Source organism: Homo sapiens, chromosome 14 (assembly GCF_000001405.40).
Source record: "Homo sapiens chromosome 14, GRCh38.p14 Primary Assembly".
NCBI lineage: Eukaryota > Metazoa > Chordata > Mammalia > Primates > Hominidae > Homo > Homo sapiens.
Genome location: NC_000014.9, coordinates 90,991,171 through 91,007,198, shown reverse-complemented (window position 1 = coordinate 91,007,198; position 16,028 = coordinate 90,991,171). Strand labels below are relative to the sequence as shown.

Here is a 16,028-nt window from a genome sequence, read left to right as displayed (position 1 = left end):
AGGCTGAAGGTAAGGTTTTGGTGCCACTATGCTGTTATAGTCAGACATCCACAAATGCCCAAACTCTGCTCTCCCAGGCCCCTCTTTTCCCTCAGAGTCATGAGTGATCCATCTGCAAGGCACAAGTAGCTGGTGGGAATCAGAGTAACAAATTTAATAAGAGTTGTGCAAACATCCAACACACCAATGTAAAACTCTTCTGTAGAAGCTGCATTGGTGCAGTAGTTTAGGTTTAAGGCCTAAGTGAGGTGTCCTACTTCCCTTCCAACTACATCTAATTATAATCTTGAGACCAGCATGTTCAGGTGTGTGACTTAGAAGGTTAGAATGGGCCGGGTGCGGTGGCTCATGCCCATAATCCCAGCACTTTGGGAGGCTGAGGCAGGCGGATCACCTGAGGTCAGGAGTTCGAGACCAGCTTGGCCAACATGGTGAAAGCCTGTTTCTACTAAAAAATAAAAAAAAAGGTTAGAATGGAGAAGAAACACCAGGTATCTTAGTTTCAGGTTTCTTTAACAAAGACACCATAAACTATCTGGTTTAAACAACAAACATTTATTTTTCACAGTTCTGAAGGCTGGGAATTCCAAGATTAAGGTGCTGGCAGCTCCAGTGTCTGGTGAGGGCCCACTTCCTGGTTTGCAGATGGCAGTCTTCTTGTGTCCTTGCATAGGGAAAGCAGAGAGAGAGGAAGCATAGTCTGTCCTGTCTCTTCTTGTAGGGCACTGAATCCATCATGAGAGTTTCACCCTAATGACCTGATTACCTCCCAAAGGCCCCATCTCTAAATACCATCACTTTGGAGATTAGGATTTTAACATATGAATTTTGGAGGATACAAACATTCAGATCATAGAACCAGGTCCCAGGAGAACCCCTGAATCTGCTTAGCTAACTACTATGTATGTTGAAGGGAGAAGTGCAAGAGAATGGCCAATCTGTCAGGCCATGGAAGAAATTTGAGGCAAAAAAACCAAAGAGGCCTTGTGGGGAGGCTGATCTTTTAACACAGTGAGTCTACCTATTAATTGTGCCCATCTGGAGTTTTGGACTCTTGAATAAATGAATTAGTCACGTTTCTTACCTTTGGGGAGAACTAGAAAGGGGGTTGGGCAAAGGCATGCCTGGCATAGGAAAAGGAGCAAAAGTCCTTTTTTCCCACAACTAGACTAAAGTACCATCTCCTTTTGAGTGTGAAGAAAGACAGTGTACAATTCTAACAGGTCTGTTTCTGGCACAGTCTGATCTAGGCATGCAGGTAGCTCCACATCATCTGAGCAGCATATTTTGGGCTTTACTAAAGCATGTGAATGACTCACACATACAGATTTCAGCAATTGGTTGATGTTTTATTTCACCTGTAGGGTGAAATAAATGTGTAAATATTATAAGTCTTGTTCTAATACTGTTAATATTATTGTAGAGAAGTTTGAGCTCTTGTTCTTAGGTTAACAATTAAGAGAAATGTGATTTATTTTTAGACTTTCATGCACAAAAGCTTTAATCACAATGACAAAATAATAGCATAGGAATGAAAACTATTTAGACACCTAGACTCACATGCTCAAATATGTGTTTTTTATTGCTTAGGATTCTATATAATATGATATTTACCATTTCTTCTTATGTGTTTTGTCATTAACACAGTGAAAAAAATCTTTATAATGGACAAATACTCCCCCATGCCTAAATATGATACTACTTACTACTGATTTGCTCTCATATGTGTGTTTACTTACTTTGCCAGTAGATGTAATGGAAAAGACTCAGAGTCAGGAACAGGGGCAAAAAACAACAACAACAAAAACATGTGGTTGCTAAGTTCAAGAGCTCTGAGATGGGCCTATATCATATCACCTTTTAAATTTTTATTTTACTCTTTTAGATTAATTTATGATGGCAGTAGTTGAAGTAAAGTAAAGGCTAAGTACAGCCCACACTGTGAAGATTCTGGTGGAAAAATAGTAGACTGTCAGAAACCTGGATGAAACTCAAAGACTGTAGGCCAAGTAAATGAAGTTGAAAGCCAAGAAACTATGTATTGCATGATTTCATTTATATGAAATTCTAGGAAAGCTAAAACTGTAATGACTGGAATTAGATTATTAGTTACCAGGGAAGTGATTGGCTTCAAAAGGACATCCAGAAACTTTTCAGGGTAATGGAACAGAAACTTTTCAGGGTGATGGAACTGTTTTTTTGTTTTTTTGTTTTTTTGTTTTTTTTTTTGAGACGGAGTCTCACTTTGTCGCCCAAGCTGGAGTGCAGTGGCGCGCGATCTTGGCTCACTGCAAGCTCCGCCTCCCGGGTTCAGGCCATTCTCCTGCCTCAGCCTCCCGAGGAGCTGGGACTACAGGCGCCCGCCACCATGCCCGGCTAATTTTTTTGTATTTTTAGTAGAGACGGGGTTTCACTGTGTTAGCCAGGATGGTCTCGATCTCCTGACCTCGTGATCCACCCGCCTCGGCCTCCCAAAGTGTTGGGATTACAGGTGTGAGCCACCGCGCCCGGCCTGGAACTGTTTTATATCATGCTTGTGGTGGTGGCTCCATGACTATGTAAAATTACCAAAATTCATCAAACTGTTCATTTAAATAAGTGAATTTTATTGTATGTAAGTTGGACCTTAGTAAAATTTAAAAATACGTTAACTATAGATTTTTGGTGCTCAGATGTCTTTAATTTTTCCTTTGAGCAAAGACAAGAACCAAAGGAATGTTATCTGACAGTCTCAGACAATAACTTTGAGGACTATTGTAAGGATTAAGATTTCTGTATCCTACCCTATCATAGTTTCAACTGCATGGTTCCCAGGTGAGATTAAGAAAGTGAAGGCGCGGTGGCTCACGCCTGTAATCCCAGCACTTTGGGAAGCTGAGGCGGGTGGATCACGAGGTCAGGAGATCTAACACGGTGAAACCCGGTCTCTACTAAAAATACAAAAAATTAGCCGGGCGTGGTGGCGGGCGCCTGTAGGCCCAGCTCCTCGGGAGGCTGAGGCAGGAGAATGGCGTGAACCCGGGAGGCGGAGCTTGCAGTGAGCTGAGATCGCGCCACTGCACTCCAGCCTGGGCGACAGAGCGAAACTCCGTCTCAAAAAAATCAAAAAACAAAACAAAAAACAAGAAAATGAAGACAAAATAAAGGAATACATGATAGCAAGCTTGATCTTTGGTTCTGTACCCCAAACTGAAACCTTGACCTTGGTGAGCTGGGCTGGATCACATGGACCTGCTTAAGGACTTACTTGTCCCTTTGCCCTGTGCAGATACCCTTTAAGATTGTTTACTGGAATCTTGCCATTCTTAAGCAAGAAAATTCCAAGAAATCTAAACTCTATCAGAAACTTGAGGTGGAAGAGAGTGGTTTTTCTTCATAAGCCCAGGGCTAAGCTCTTTTCAGGACCAGCATTCTTGAGTTTTCCTAAGACCTAGGACTTGAGGTATGGGAGAAAGAAGAGCTCTGCCTTACCTACCAGCCACCTGGGAACAGTATTGGTGGAAAAGCAATAAAAAGAGTAAATGAAATTCTCAGCTGCTAAATTAATGAGAGGAGGAGCCAAAGAGAACATACCTTGAGCTGCTTCTCATTACCTGGAAACCTTCAACCCTGAGTACAGAAGGCACCCTTCATCTGGAGCCCTGGGGATAGGAGGTTGGAGAAGACTTGAGCTCCTGTAGCAGCCAAAGTGTTAATTTATGTCAGAAACAAAATAATAGAGGTAGTAGATTATGAACAAAAACAGCCCTTCACAGATCATCTGAACAACCTTTGTGAATGACTAGGGTTTCCTGGGTACTATACTTTGTAAAAGAAAGTGTAATTAATTTATAACCTCTTTTAATTTCCTATGAAAGTTAATTCTGTGTATCAAAAAATAATTCCTTATCTTCTTAGTGTAGCAGCAAATATAGATAAGTAATATATAAATATAAAGCAAATATAAATATAGATATAATCTAGTATATGAACAATGCTTTTGGAAAGCTGGGCTTGTACATATCTCAGTAAATAAAAAAGGATTCCTAATAGTAAGAACCAGGAGTAATTATTTTTGACACATGACTCTTTAATAATCTCTTAAGCTTTTTTACATAATAAAATAATAGAATTTAACATTAGAAGAGAGCCAAATCATTGTTTCAAAAGTGGTTGTCTCTTATGAGTTTGGCTTTTTATAAAATCTACTTGACATATTAAAGATAAGCCATCGTTTATTTTAGAATACTACCTATGTTTTTGATATTCATTTTAGATCTATACTGATGTCAATGTGAACTCTAGGCTGGGCCATGTACATTGACTTGTTCTTACTATAAAATTATACATTGATAGTAAAACTCTTAAAAATAGAAAATAGAATGGTGGTTCCCAGGGCTGAGAGAAGAGGGAAGAGGGCAATTGTTGTTCAATGGATATAGTTTATTTTGCAGGATGAAAAGGTTCTAAAGATCTGTTGCATAACAACGTACATATGGTTAACAATACTGTATACTTAAAAATGGTTAAGGTGGTAAATTTTATGTTATGTGTTTTTGACCACAATTTTTAAAAATTTTAAATTATGAGTTTAGTTAAACTTTGGAAAGACATTGAAATTATTTATGCCCCAAAGCTTTTCATTCTAAAAGTTGTTAGTTGAGTTTTATTTTCTTAAAGTTGTAGTCCCAAAGCATTAATTTATTTACAAACACTTATACTGCTTATTGGCACACAGCAAGCACCATATAAATTTGATTCATTTAATCCTCATTAAATTCTATGTAGTGGGTATTATTTTGTTTTCTGTCATTTTATAATGGCCATTTTCTAATATACAGAGAATTTGAAAGAATTGTATGTTGAATACCCTTATACTCACTACCTAAATTCTGCAATTAATATTTTGTTGTATTTGCTTTTGACGTATGTGTTCATAGCTATATTTATTTATAAATTTATCTTATTTTAAAAAATGCATTTCAAAGTAAATCACAGATATCAGTATGCTTTGAGGATAGGTGTTTTTATGCCCATTTTACATTATTGGGAACTGAGACACAGACAAGTAATTTGTCAAGGTCACACAGCTTTTAAGTGGCATAATTAGGATTTGGATCAAGCCTTTCTTAACCACTTCTACAGAGTACTAGTTCACATAATGTTAATAGATACTACCTTAAAAAGTAATTTTGTGGTTAAATCCACAAATGTAGTATCTTTGTCTTGATCTACATGCATATTTTCATAATACAGGATCTGTAAGGTTCAGCAGTAAAGAAATCGTTTAACTTTGTTTAAGCCAACCATTTCCACATTTATTCTACCAAAGCACTCTGCTCCCCACATCTCCCCCTAACAGAACACCTATTATAGGATAGGACTAGAATTCAATGGAATATGTTATGGAAAATGCTAATTTATAAGAGATCCTAATTTTATTTATTCAAGACAATATATCTTTGAAGAGTTTATATTTTTAAACATAGTCCTAGAATTTTAGAGCTGACAGGGATCCTAGAGTTCATTGAGACCAACACTTTCATTTCAGAGATGTAGTAATGGAGACATAGAGTATTGAAGTGACGAATGCATACTATATCGTGTCCAGGTATTTAGTGGCAGAAATGGAACTAGAACTTACCCTAGAACCTGGGGATGGCATTTAATAGATACTCAGTAAATGTTTGTCGAATCATAAATACATCTTCTCAATCCATCCAGTTTTTTCCCCACTATGTATCTATCTACATATTAGAATTTTTATTTATTTTTGGAGTATATTGGTCAGTAGAGAGTCTAATAAACACTTTAATTTATGTTAATATTTGGTACAAATGATATATATAGTTCCTAAATTCCAAAAAAAGTTTTATTGTAATGCATAACATACAGAAATTTATGCAAAATATGCTATACTGTTTAACAAATAATTATAAAGCAAACCCTGGTTAATCACTCAAGTCAAGAAATAGAGCGTCGCTGGTACACAAGAATCCCCCAGGAGCCTCCTTCTATTGCTGACCCTCTTGTTTTTTTTTTCCTCTTTTTTTCTTTTAGCTAATTTGACAGGACATGCTGAGAAGGTGGGAATAGAAAATTTTGAGCTCCTGAAGGTCCTAGGAACTGGAGGTAAGTCTTAAGTTAATTATATTTAAGGAAAAAAAAAAGTACTTATTATTCCTATGATGAAGGATTGATATCCCCAATACAGAAATTAAAATTTAAAAAGCATGAGGAATCCATTAGGAGAACTGTCAAAGAACATGAACAGACCATTCATAGAAGCACAAAAGGCAAAAATAAAAAGAATTGGCAAGGATTTAGGGAAACCAATCCCTTTTACCCTGCTGTTGGGAATGTAAATTAGTTCAGCCTTTACACAGGACACAATATTTTATTTTATTTTATTTTTTTTGAGACGGAGTCTAGCTCTGTCGCCCAGGCTGGAGTGTGGTGGCGTGATCTCAGCTCACTGCAACCTCTGCTTCCTGGGTTCAAGCGATTCTCCTGCCTCAGCCTCCTGAGTAGCTGGGATTACAGGCGCCTTCTACCACGCCCAGCTAATTTTGTATTTTTAGTAGAGACGGGGTTTCACCATGTTGTTCGAGGCCAGGTTGGTCTCGAACTCCTGACCTCAAGTAATCCGCCCTCTTCTGCCTCCCAGAGGGCTGGGATTATAGGCATGAGCCACTGCGCCCAGCCAGGACACAATATTTTAAAAAATCACTAACATTGATAGAGTGCTTGTTAGATGCCAAGTACTCTGTGGAGGGCTTTGTATTGATTGTCTTATTCAATCTTTGTTCAACTCAGTTGATACTCAATGAACGTAATTTGTAATAATGAAAAACCCAGGACTGTTTAGAAACCCAACAATAGGGCTTTGGTTAAATGGAACATGGATCTCTATGTTCTATAATGTATATAATAGATTAAAATGATCTACTTTTATTTAATATTTTGGAAAGCTCTCCAAAATAAGTTTTTAAAAAGCTACAGAAGAGAATGTACAATATACAAAACATTATATGAATAAATATAAATATCTACATGTGTATATGGATATGGAAAATATCTGCGTGTATATTTGTATGCAGAAAAATCTCTAGGTGCCCGGGCGTGGTGGCTTATGCCACCACAGCACTTTGGGAGGCACTTTGGGAGGCCAAGATGGGAGAAGCCCTTGAGGCCAGGAGTTCAAGACCAGCTTGGGAAACATAGTGAGACCTCATCTCAACAAAAAATAAAGAAAATTCTCCGGGATGTACATGGTTATATACACTAAAATCTTAGTGGTAGCGGGATTTTACATGATCTTGGTTTTCTGCTTTGTAACTTTCCTTTGCCTTCTGAATTTTTGCTACCACCGCTTTCGCTGCTCAGAAATCAGGGCTGACTTAAGGGGGATGTGACCTATGCAGTTGTAGAGATCCCTGCATGTAGAAGAGCCCCATGTTTGGTGTAATGCTCTGCTGTCACTGTTCTGAAATTATTAGTAATTCATGAACAAGGCACCCGCATTTTCATTTTACACTAGGCCTTGCCATTTATGCAGCTTCTTGTCATGTGTATGTTTCCTACTCAGTTCTCTCCCTGTCCTGGACTGTGTTGCTCTGCAGCCACCGCTGCTGTGAGAACTGGCTTCTGTCATTTTTCTCCCATCAGGTCAAGATACAAAGGAGGCCTTTAACTCTTCCCCTCCCCCTCCTCCTCCCCATTCTCAGCAGGCCTAGATCTCTTTTCCTGGAAGACCAGGGAGAGCATCAGAGGACAGACCATTTTTCTTCCCCGCTGCAGTTTAGCGTCACACTCTCAGGGACCTGAGTGTTCTAGCGCCTGACAGGATGGATTACACCTGTCCATATAAGGGTATCTGCCCATCCCTTCCAAAATGCCAAACATTATAGCAAGAAAGAAAGCCTTTCTCTTGGGGCCTCTGTAATCAATACCAGCCACTTCCCTAGCTTCATGTCTGTTTGTTTTTTTGTTTTTTGTTTTTTTGTTTTTTTGAGATGAAGCCTAGCTGTGTCGCCCAGGCTGGAGTGTAGTGACTCGATCTTGGCTCACTGCAACTTCTGCCTCCTGGGTTCAAGTGATTCTTCTGCCTCAGCCTCCTGAGTAGCTGGAATTATAGACATGCACCACCATGCCCAGCTAATTCGGGTTTCACCGTTTTGACTAGGCTGGTCTTGAACTCCTGACCTCGTGATCCACCCTCCTCAGCCTCCCAAAGTGCTGGTATTACAGACGTGAGCCATCACGCCCGGCCTGCCTCATGTCTAAGTTCGCTTATGTAAGCTGTCTTTAGGTCATTTAGTAATGAGCCTTCATGTCTACGGCCCTGCTGTATGAGGTCTTTATAACCTCCCTGAGTAGTTTAGCATGCCATATAGGCCCAATCTTTACAGCTACCAGTGAATAAGCAAAATGAATAGTTTATTCCCATCAACTAAGCATGTTATTGTCAGAAATTTAGTGTAACTGTCAACTTGGAGATGTTATTGTACATTTCCACCTTCAAATAATTTGTTCAAATGTATTTTTTAAAAATCCAAGCTCTACCCCACTGTATTCCTAAGAAATCATGCTTTCAAAATATCAAAATAATACCCTTTATTCCTACCTTTGTTTCCTGTTTCAAAGGCAATATCTACTCAAAGGGGAAAGAGGATCACAGTTCTGTGGTGACTCAGTTCCCTTAAAAATAGTGCTTTGTGACATCTGGTCAAAAGTTCTTAAGGTTGATATATATTATAGATTGTTTTTATAATAGCTGTTTTATCTGCATGTTTTTATCTGTTTTGTCTGTATGTGGCTTTCTTGGTAACAACTTTATTGAGATATAACTCACGTACCATATTGTTCCATCATTTAAAGTGTGCAATTCAGTGGTTTTAGTATATTCACAAAGTTGTGCAGCAATTTTATAACAGTCAGTTTTATAACATTTTCCTTACTTCAGAAAGAAACCCTGAACCCTTTAGCTATTAATGCCCAAGCAAGCTCACCATCCTCCCCAGTCCTAAACAACCACTAACTGACTTTTTTATCTATATATTTGCCTCTTCTAGGCATTTCATATAAAGGTAAACATACAAATGTGTAGTCCCTGGTGACCAGCTTCTTTCACTTAACATAATGTTTTCTAGGTTCATTCATATTGTAGTACACATCACTACTTCATACTTTTTTTTTTTTTTTTTTTTTTTCAGACAGAGTCTCGCTGTGCCACCCAGGTTGGAGTGCAGTGGCGCAATCTCACAGCAACCTCCACCTCCCTGGTTCAAGTAATTCCCCTGCCTCAGCCTCCGGAGTAGCTGAGATTACAGGCGCACACCACCACGCTCGGCTAATTTTTTTGTATTTTTAATAGAGACGGGGTTTCACTATGTTGGCCAGATTGGTCTCGAACTCCTGACCTCAGGCGATCTGCCCGCCTTGGCCTCCCAAAGTGCTGGAATTACAGGCGTGAGCCACCCTGCCTGGCCAGTACTTCATACTTTTTATGACTTACTGTTTCATTGTACAGATATACCACATTTTGTTTCTCTGTTCATCAGGAGATGGGCATTTGGGTTGTTTCCATCTTTTGGCTGTTATAAATAATGCTGCTTTGGAGACTAGCCTGGGCAAAATAGTGAGACTCCCCATCTTGCCAAAATTAAAAAATTGGTTGGGCATGGTGTGATATGTGCCTGTATTCCTAGCTACTTGGGAGGCTGAGGTGGGAGGATTGCTTGAACAGGAGTTTGAGGCTGCAGTATGCCATGATTGTGCCACTGTACTCCACCCTAGGCAACAGAGCAAGACCGTCTCTCTAAAAGATAAACAAATACATGAATATAATGCTGCTATGAACATTCATGTACAAGTTTTTGTATGAACATATGTTTTTTTCATTTTCAGGTACTTTATAAAAAGTCATGCACACTTTTAAATATTTTGAATACAAGGTTCTATAAATTCTCTCAAGTTCTGTTTAAAGTAATCTTTGAAGTGAGAATGATCTTCTTCCTTTTTTACTACAGGTCAGGTTAAATAATTTTAAAACAGGAAGAAATCTGAATGGTCGTCTTCCTTTTTTACTACAGGTTAGGTTAAACAATTTTAAAACAGGAAGAAGTCTGTGATAGAAAAATATTATATGCTTATACTTTAATCATAATCTATATTGCCTGAAGAGTTCATAGTGTCTTGGCATGTTTCTTGCCATCTGCCATTTATTTAGATGGCAGAATTCCATCTAACTCATCTATAATTCAGTAATGTAAAATTGCCAGAAAAATAGGGTTTGGGTAAACAAATTTTCTTAGTGGGTTAACTTATGCATAGCAGTTTCTCAAATATTTTTGAATGAATGGATGAGTATACTTATTCCATATAATAAGGGATCTCTATAAAGATCCTTGAAAATTTGAAAACAAATTGCTATTCTTATTTGCAATGTTTACCTGACTTTCCATGCTTTAGAGATTCTTTTTTCATATTAAAGTTTTAGAAATGTCAGTTTTTATGTTTTTTATCAAAAGCAAAACGTAGTAAAAATATTAGTACAATTGATCAAATGAAACTACTGTTTATATACTTTTGATTAACCCAATTATTATTTATTTTATTTTAAAAATAGATTTATAGCTGTTTTTAAAAGAAAACGTTATCTCTGAGATGATGTTTTATTCTAGATATGGTCAAAGCTAAACAACTTTAATCTGTAATAACAGATAACTTCTCTATAGCAAAATAGACATAGCATCTACAGAACTTTCAAGGACACTATTAAAATGTAATATTAATGATTAATTTCACCATTGAATTTTATAGTACATAACAAGAACCATGAGACTAATCCTATTCATTGATCTGTTAATTTAATGCATGCAGGCCTGGTGCAATGGCTTATGCCTGTAATCTCAGCACTTTGAGAGGCTGAGGTGGGAGGATCAGTTGAGCCCAGGAGTTCAAGACTAGCCTGGGCAACATAGCGAGACTTCATCTCTACTGAAAAAAAAAACAAAAAAAAAAACAAAAAAAACAAATTAGCCTGGGCTGTTGTGACACTCGCTTATAGTCCCAGCTACTAGGGATGCTGAGGTAGGAATATCTCTTGAGTCTGGAAGGTTGAGGCTACAGTGAGCCATGATTGTGCCATTGCTCTCCAGCCTGGGAGATAGAGCGAGACCCTGTCTCACTATAGTTTTGAACTTCTGGGCTCAAGCAGTCCTTTCACTTCCACCTCGTGAGTAGCTGAGACTGCAACCATGTGCCAACACACTCAGCTTGCTTGCTTATTTACTTATTTAGTAGAGACAGGGTCTCGTTATGTTGCCCAGGCTGGCTTCAAACTCCTGGGCCCAAGTAATCCTCCTGCCTTGGCTTCCCAAAGTGCTGGGATTACAGGCATGAGTCACTGCATGTAGCCACAATCATTATTAAACCTCTAAAGTGCTAGATAAGGAATTTTCCTTACTCTTGCCAGGTATCTATGCAGTTGAGTAGTCTTTCTATCAACTGCTTAGATTACCTGGCAAAAGTAAGGAAAATTCTTAAGCTTGAAAAAATAAAATGGGAGCAGGAATTTAGAGAAGCAAATAAGCTGCCTGAGGGCAGAAGTTATGCTGGAGAAATCCACCAGTGAATTCCGAGCTAGTTCTTTGGGTTTACCATTTTCATACTTCATATATAGGAGACAGCTTCTAAGGCACTCAAGCGGTAGAGAAGGCTACTGCTCAGTAAAACAGTAAATGAGAAAATAAAAATCTAGCCTGCAAAGGGAGATAGAGGGGAAACTTTTCTGGCTTAGCATTGGCTTCGGGTGAAGGAAACAAATAAGCAGTAAAAGCCTTCCGTGAGTCATAACCTTAAACCAAACATCATACAGGTTTGCAACTTCAGTTTGTTATCCACTTATGTGATTTAAAAAAAGAAAAATCCTGGCCAGGCACGGTGGCTCGTGCTTGTAATCACAGCACTTTGGGAGGCTGAGGCCAGCATGGGAACACCCCATCTCTACTAAAAATACAAAAATTAGCCAGGCGTTGTGGCGGGCACCTGTAATCCCACCTACTGTGGAGGCCAAGGCAGGGAGAATTGCTTGAATCTGGGAGGTGGAGGTTGCAGTGAGCCACTGCACAGAGCAAGACTCCGTCTTATATTAAAAACAAAACAAAACAAAAAACCACACACAAGCAAGTATGAATTTAGTTTATTCTACTTATGAATTGGTAGTGTTCCCAACAGCACTAGCAAAGCAAATGTAAATCTTCTCTGGAGGATTTACTTAGATCTTAAGGAAATAGCAAAGAAAGTTTTACAGACATGATTTTACTATCAAAAATTACAAACACCAGCCGTGTGCGGTGGCTCACGCCTGTAATCCCAGCACTTTGGGAGGCCGAGGCAGGCGGATCATGAGGTCAGGAGATCGAGACCATCCTGGCTAACACGGTTAAACCCCGTCTCTACTAAAAACAAAAAAAAATTAGCCGGGCATGGTGGCGGGCACCTGTACTCCCAGCTAGTTGGGAGGCTGAGACAGGAGAATGGCATGAACCCAGCAGGCGGAGCTTGCAGTGAGCTGAGATCACACCACTGCACTCCAGCCTGGGCGACAGAGTGAGACTCAGTCTCAAAAAAAAAAAAAAAAAAAAAAAAAAAATCACAAACATCCAAGAAGCAAAGCACTATGAGTGAAAGAAGTGGAAACAACAAATAATAGAATTAGACCTAAAGAGACTGTTGGAATTATTAGATATAAAATATAAATGTGTATGTTTTTAATTAAGAAGAGATTTGATTGTAATATTACGGAATAATACATGCTAAAAAAATGACCAGACAGATTGGAGAAAGAACCAGTAGTCCTTCTAGGAGTGAAAAAAAAACAATTCAAAGTATAAACTTAATGGATGCTTTACTGGTAGATGAGATATAGCTAAAGAGAAAATTATTGTGGATTGGAAGATAGATTTGAAGAAAATATGCAGAATATAGAATGGAGAAAAAAGAGATAGCATATGAGAGGACTATTAAGATATAGAGGATAGGCCGGGTGTGGTGGCTCACAGCTGTAATCCCAGCACTTTGGGAAGCTGAGGTGGGAGAATCCCCATCTGTCTGGGCAACATAGTGAGACCCTGCCTCTAGAAAAACAAACTAACTTAGCTGGGCATGGTGGTGCATGCATGACTGTAGTCCTAGCCATTCAGGAGGCTGAGGTGAGAGGGTTGTCTGAGCCTGGGAGGTTAAGGCCACGGTGAGTTATGATCACATCACTACACTCCAGCCTGGGTTGTCTCAAAAAAAAAAAAATAGAGAATAGATAGAGAAGATACAACATTTTTCTAATCAGACTTTCAGAAGGAGCTTATAGAATGAGTAGAGGCACTGTTCAAAGAAATAATAGCTGGGAGTTTACAGGATTAAACGTGAATTTGCAGAGAGCAAATACAAGTACTTGCATACAAGTATAAAGAAATTCTTATGTAGATACATCAGAGAGAAACTGATGAACATGAGACAGAGAAATACCTGAAAAGCAGTCAAAGAGAAAAGACTTATTTATAAAGGAACAACAATTAGTTTAACAGTGGACTTTACAACAGCAACCCTGGAAGCCATGTAAAGTGGAATAATATCTTCAAAATGCCCAGAGAAAATAACTGTTAATCTACACTTGTATACTCAGCAAAACTGTTTTCCCTAAGTGTGGCAAAAAGACACTTGTTGTTGTTGTTGTTCTTTTTGAGACGGAGTCTTGCTCTGTCTTGTTGTTTTTTTTGAGACGGAGTCTTGCTCTGTCACCCAGGCTGGAGTGCAGTGGCACGATCTTAGCTCACTGTAACCTCCGCCTCCTGGGTTCAAGTGATTCTCCTGCCTCAGCCCCCTGAGTAGCTGGGACTACAGGCTCATGCCACCATGGCTGGCTAATTTTTGTATTTTTAGTAGAGATGGGGTTTCACCATATTAGCCAGGCCGATCTCGAACTCCTGACCTCATGATCTGCCCACCTCGGCCTCCCAAAGTGTTGGGATTACAGGTGTGAGCCACCACGCCCAGCCAACATTTTCAAACATACAAAAGCTGAGTGAGTTTTCTACCAATAGGTCCCCTATGAGAATTTTAAAAGAAGTAGTTTTAGGAAGAAGGAAAATAATCCCTGGAGAATTTTCCGAGATGCAAAAAGAATTACTGAACAAACAGTCTAAAGCATACTGACTGTGTAAAGCTCTCGTCACGATGTCTCATTTGTGGAGTTGAAAAAAGAAAACTGAAAAATTGGACAAAATAGCATTTAATTTGGGAGGTGACAGGAGTTAGTTTCCTGAAGTAATGTTCCTCAAAGTTTAACATGCACAGTAATCTTGAAATGTGTAAATTACCAAACTGATTGAAAAAAGGTGTGAGAAACCTACATAGTCCTATAACTGTTAAAGAGATTGGTCAGTAAGCAAAAATCCTCTTGCTGGGAAGACACTCAGTACAGTTTTAAGAATGAGTTCTGCCACACATTCAAGGCATAGATAATTCTGATCTTCCACAAACTCTTTCAGAAAACAGGAAAAGGGGGATTATTTCCTCCAACTCATTGTATGAGTCCAGTGTAACCTTGATTCCAAAAAACACACTAGGACAGTATAAAGAAGGCAGATTATCAGCCCATTTTATATATGTGAAATTTTTAATATCAAATTTATATAGTCAAACCTTGTGTGTATTTTCTTTCAACACATTGAATACTTTGACTCATTATCTATTATACATCTGCACTGAGTAGTTTGGTTACAGGCCTTGAAGACAATTCTGTAAAGGTAAGGAAACAGTTTACCTGTAATGTTTTACCTTTGTATTTCCATTTTGTGTGTGTGCACTGTTTTATAATGGATCAGTTGTCAGCCATGGAGACTGCTTTTCCTTTTTGCCAGCTGACAGTGTAGTCTCTTATGAGAAGATGGGATAACTAAGAAATGTCATTGTAAGTATATCTGCCTTTAAAAAATCACAGTTTTGATGACTAAATGGAGTAGGTGGAAGCTTTTATAATGAATATAATAAAATCTCAATTTTTATTCAAAAATTTTACCACTAATCTTTCAGTTTCATTACCTTTTTAAGATAAATTTTTTTCAGCACTACTTAGAATAATAGGAAAGACTCATCAGATGTCTTCATGTGTCATGTAAGGTTTTCTTTGGAAATGAAACTGAAAACTCTTCTGATGAATTAATTTCTATATATTTAAACTAGAAAAAAATGCTATTCATCAAATATCTTGAAGACTGTGGAATATTTGAATATCAAAGATTTACTTTTTGACACTTAAATACATCTAATATGCATAAAACTCTTTTTTACTCAGATTGACTTGCTTCTCTTGAACTATCTGGTTTCCTTTGGCCTATCACTAACCTTGATCAGTTTTCTGAGCTAGAAACTTTTAAATAATTTTGGATTCTTTTTGGATTCTTCTCTATCTATTTTGACCTCTTTATCTCTCTTCTTTTTTTTTTTTTTTTTTTGAGATGGAGTCTCACTCTGTCACCCAGGCTGAAGTTCAGTGGTGTGATCTCAGCTCACTGCAACCTCTGCCTCCCAAGTTCAAGCTATTTTCCTGCCTCAGCCTCCCGAGTAACTGGGATTACAAATGTGCACCACCATGCCCGGATAATTTTTGTATTTTTAGTAGAGACAGGGTTTCACCATGTTAGCCAGGCTGGTCTCAAACTCCTGACCTCAAGTGACCCACCTGCCTCGGCCTTCCAAAGTGTTGGGATTACAGGTATCAGCTGCTGCGCCCAGCCCAGCCTCTTTACTTCTATTTTCTCACAAAGTCCTATAATTTTCCCCTTAAAGTGATCCTTGGATTTACCTTTTCTGGGCCTAAGAACGGAAAGTGCCATCACTCATTTTACCTTATGCATGGATTCTTTCAAGGGGTGTCTTAACCTGTCTGCCTTTCTGTAGGCTCTCTTCCATTTGTGCATTTTAATATCATATGCTGTTATACGTAATATACAGTCTTGCTAAAATACAACATTTTCGTGCAGTTT

General features: G+C 38.5%; 1 protein-coding gene across 14 annotated transcripts in view; it reads left to right on the top strand.

Annotated features, from left to right (window-relative positions):
* Positions 1 to 16,028, top strand: part of RPS6KA5 (ribosomal protein S6 kinase A5) — a 212,781-nt gene that overhangs the window by 53,443 nt on the left and 143,310 nt on the right. For 13 of the 14 annotated variants that reach the window (NM_001322232.2, NM_001322228.2, NM_001322236.2 and 10 more), the window contains one exon: positions 6,040 to 6,111. The exons of the other annotated variant lie outside the window; for it this stretch is intronic. In NM_001322232.2, coding sequence (NP_001309161.1) covers positions 6,040 to 6,111 — 72 coding nt within the window. The remainder of the gene's footprint in view (positions 1 to 6,039; positions 6,112 to 16,028) is intronic. 14 annotated transcript variants of the gene reach the window in all.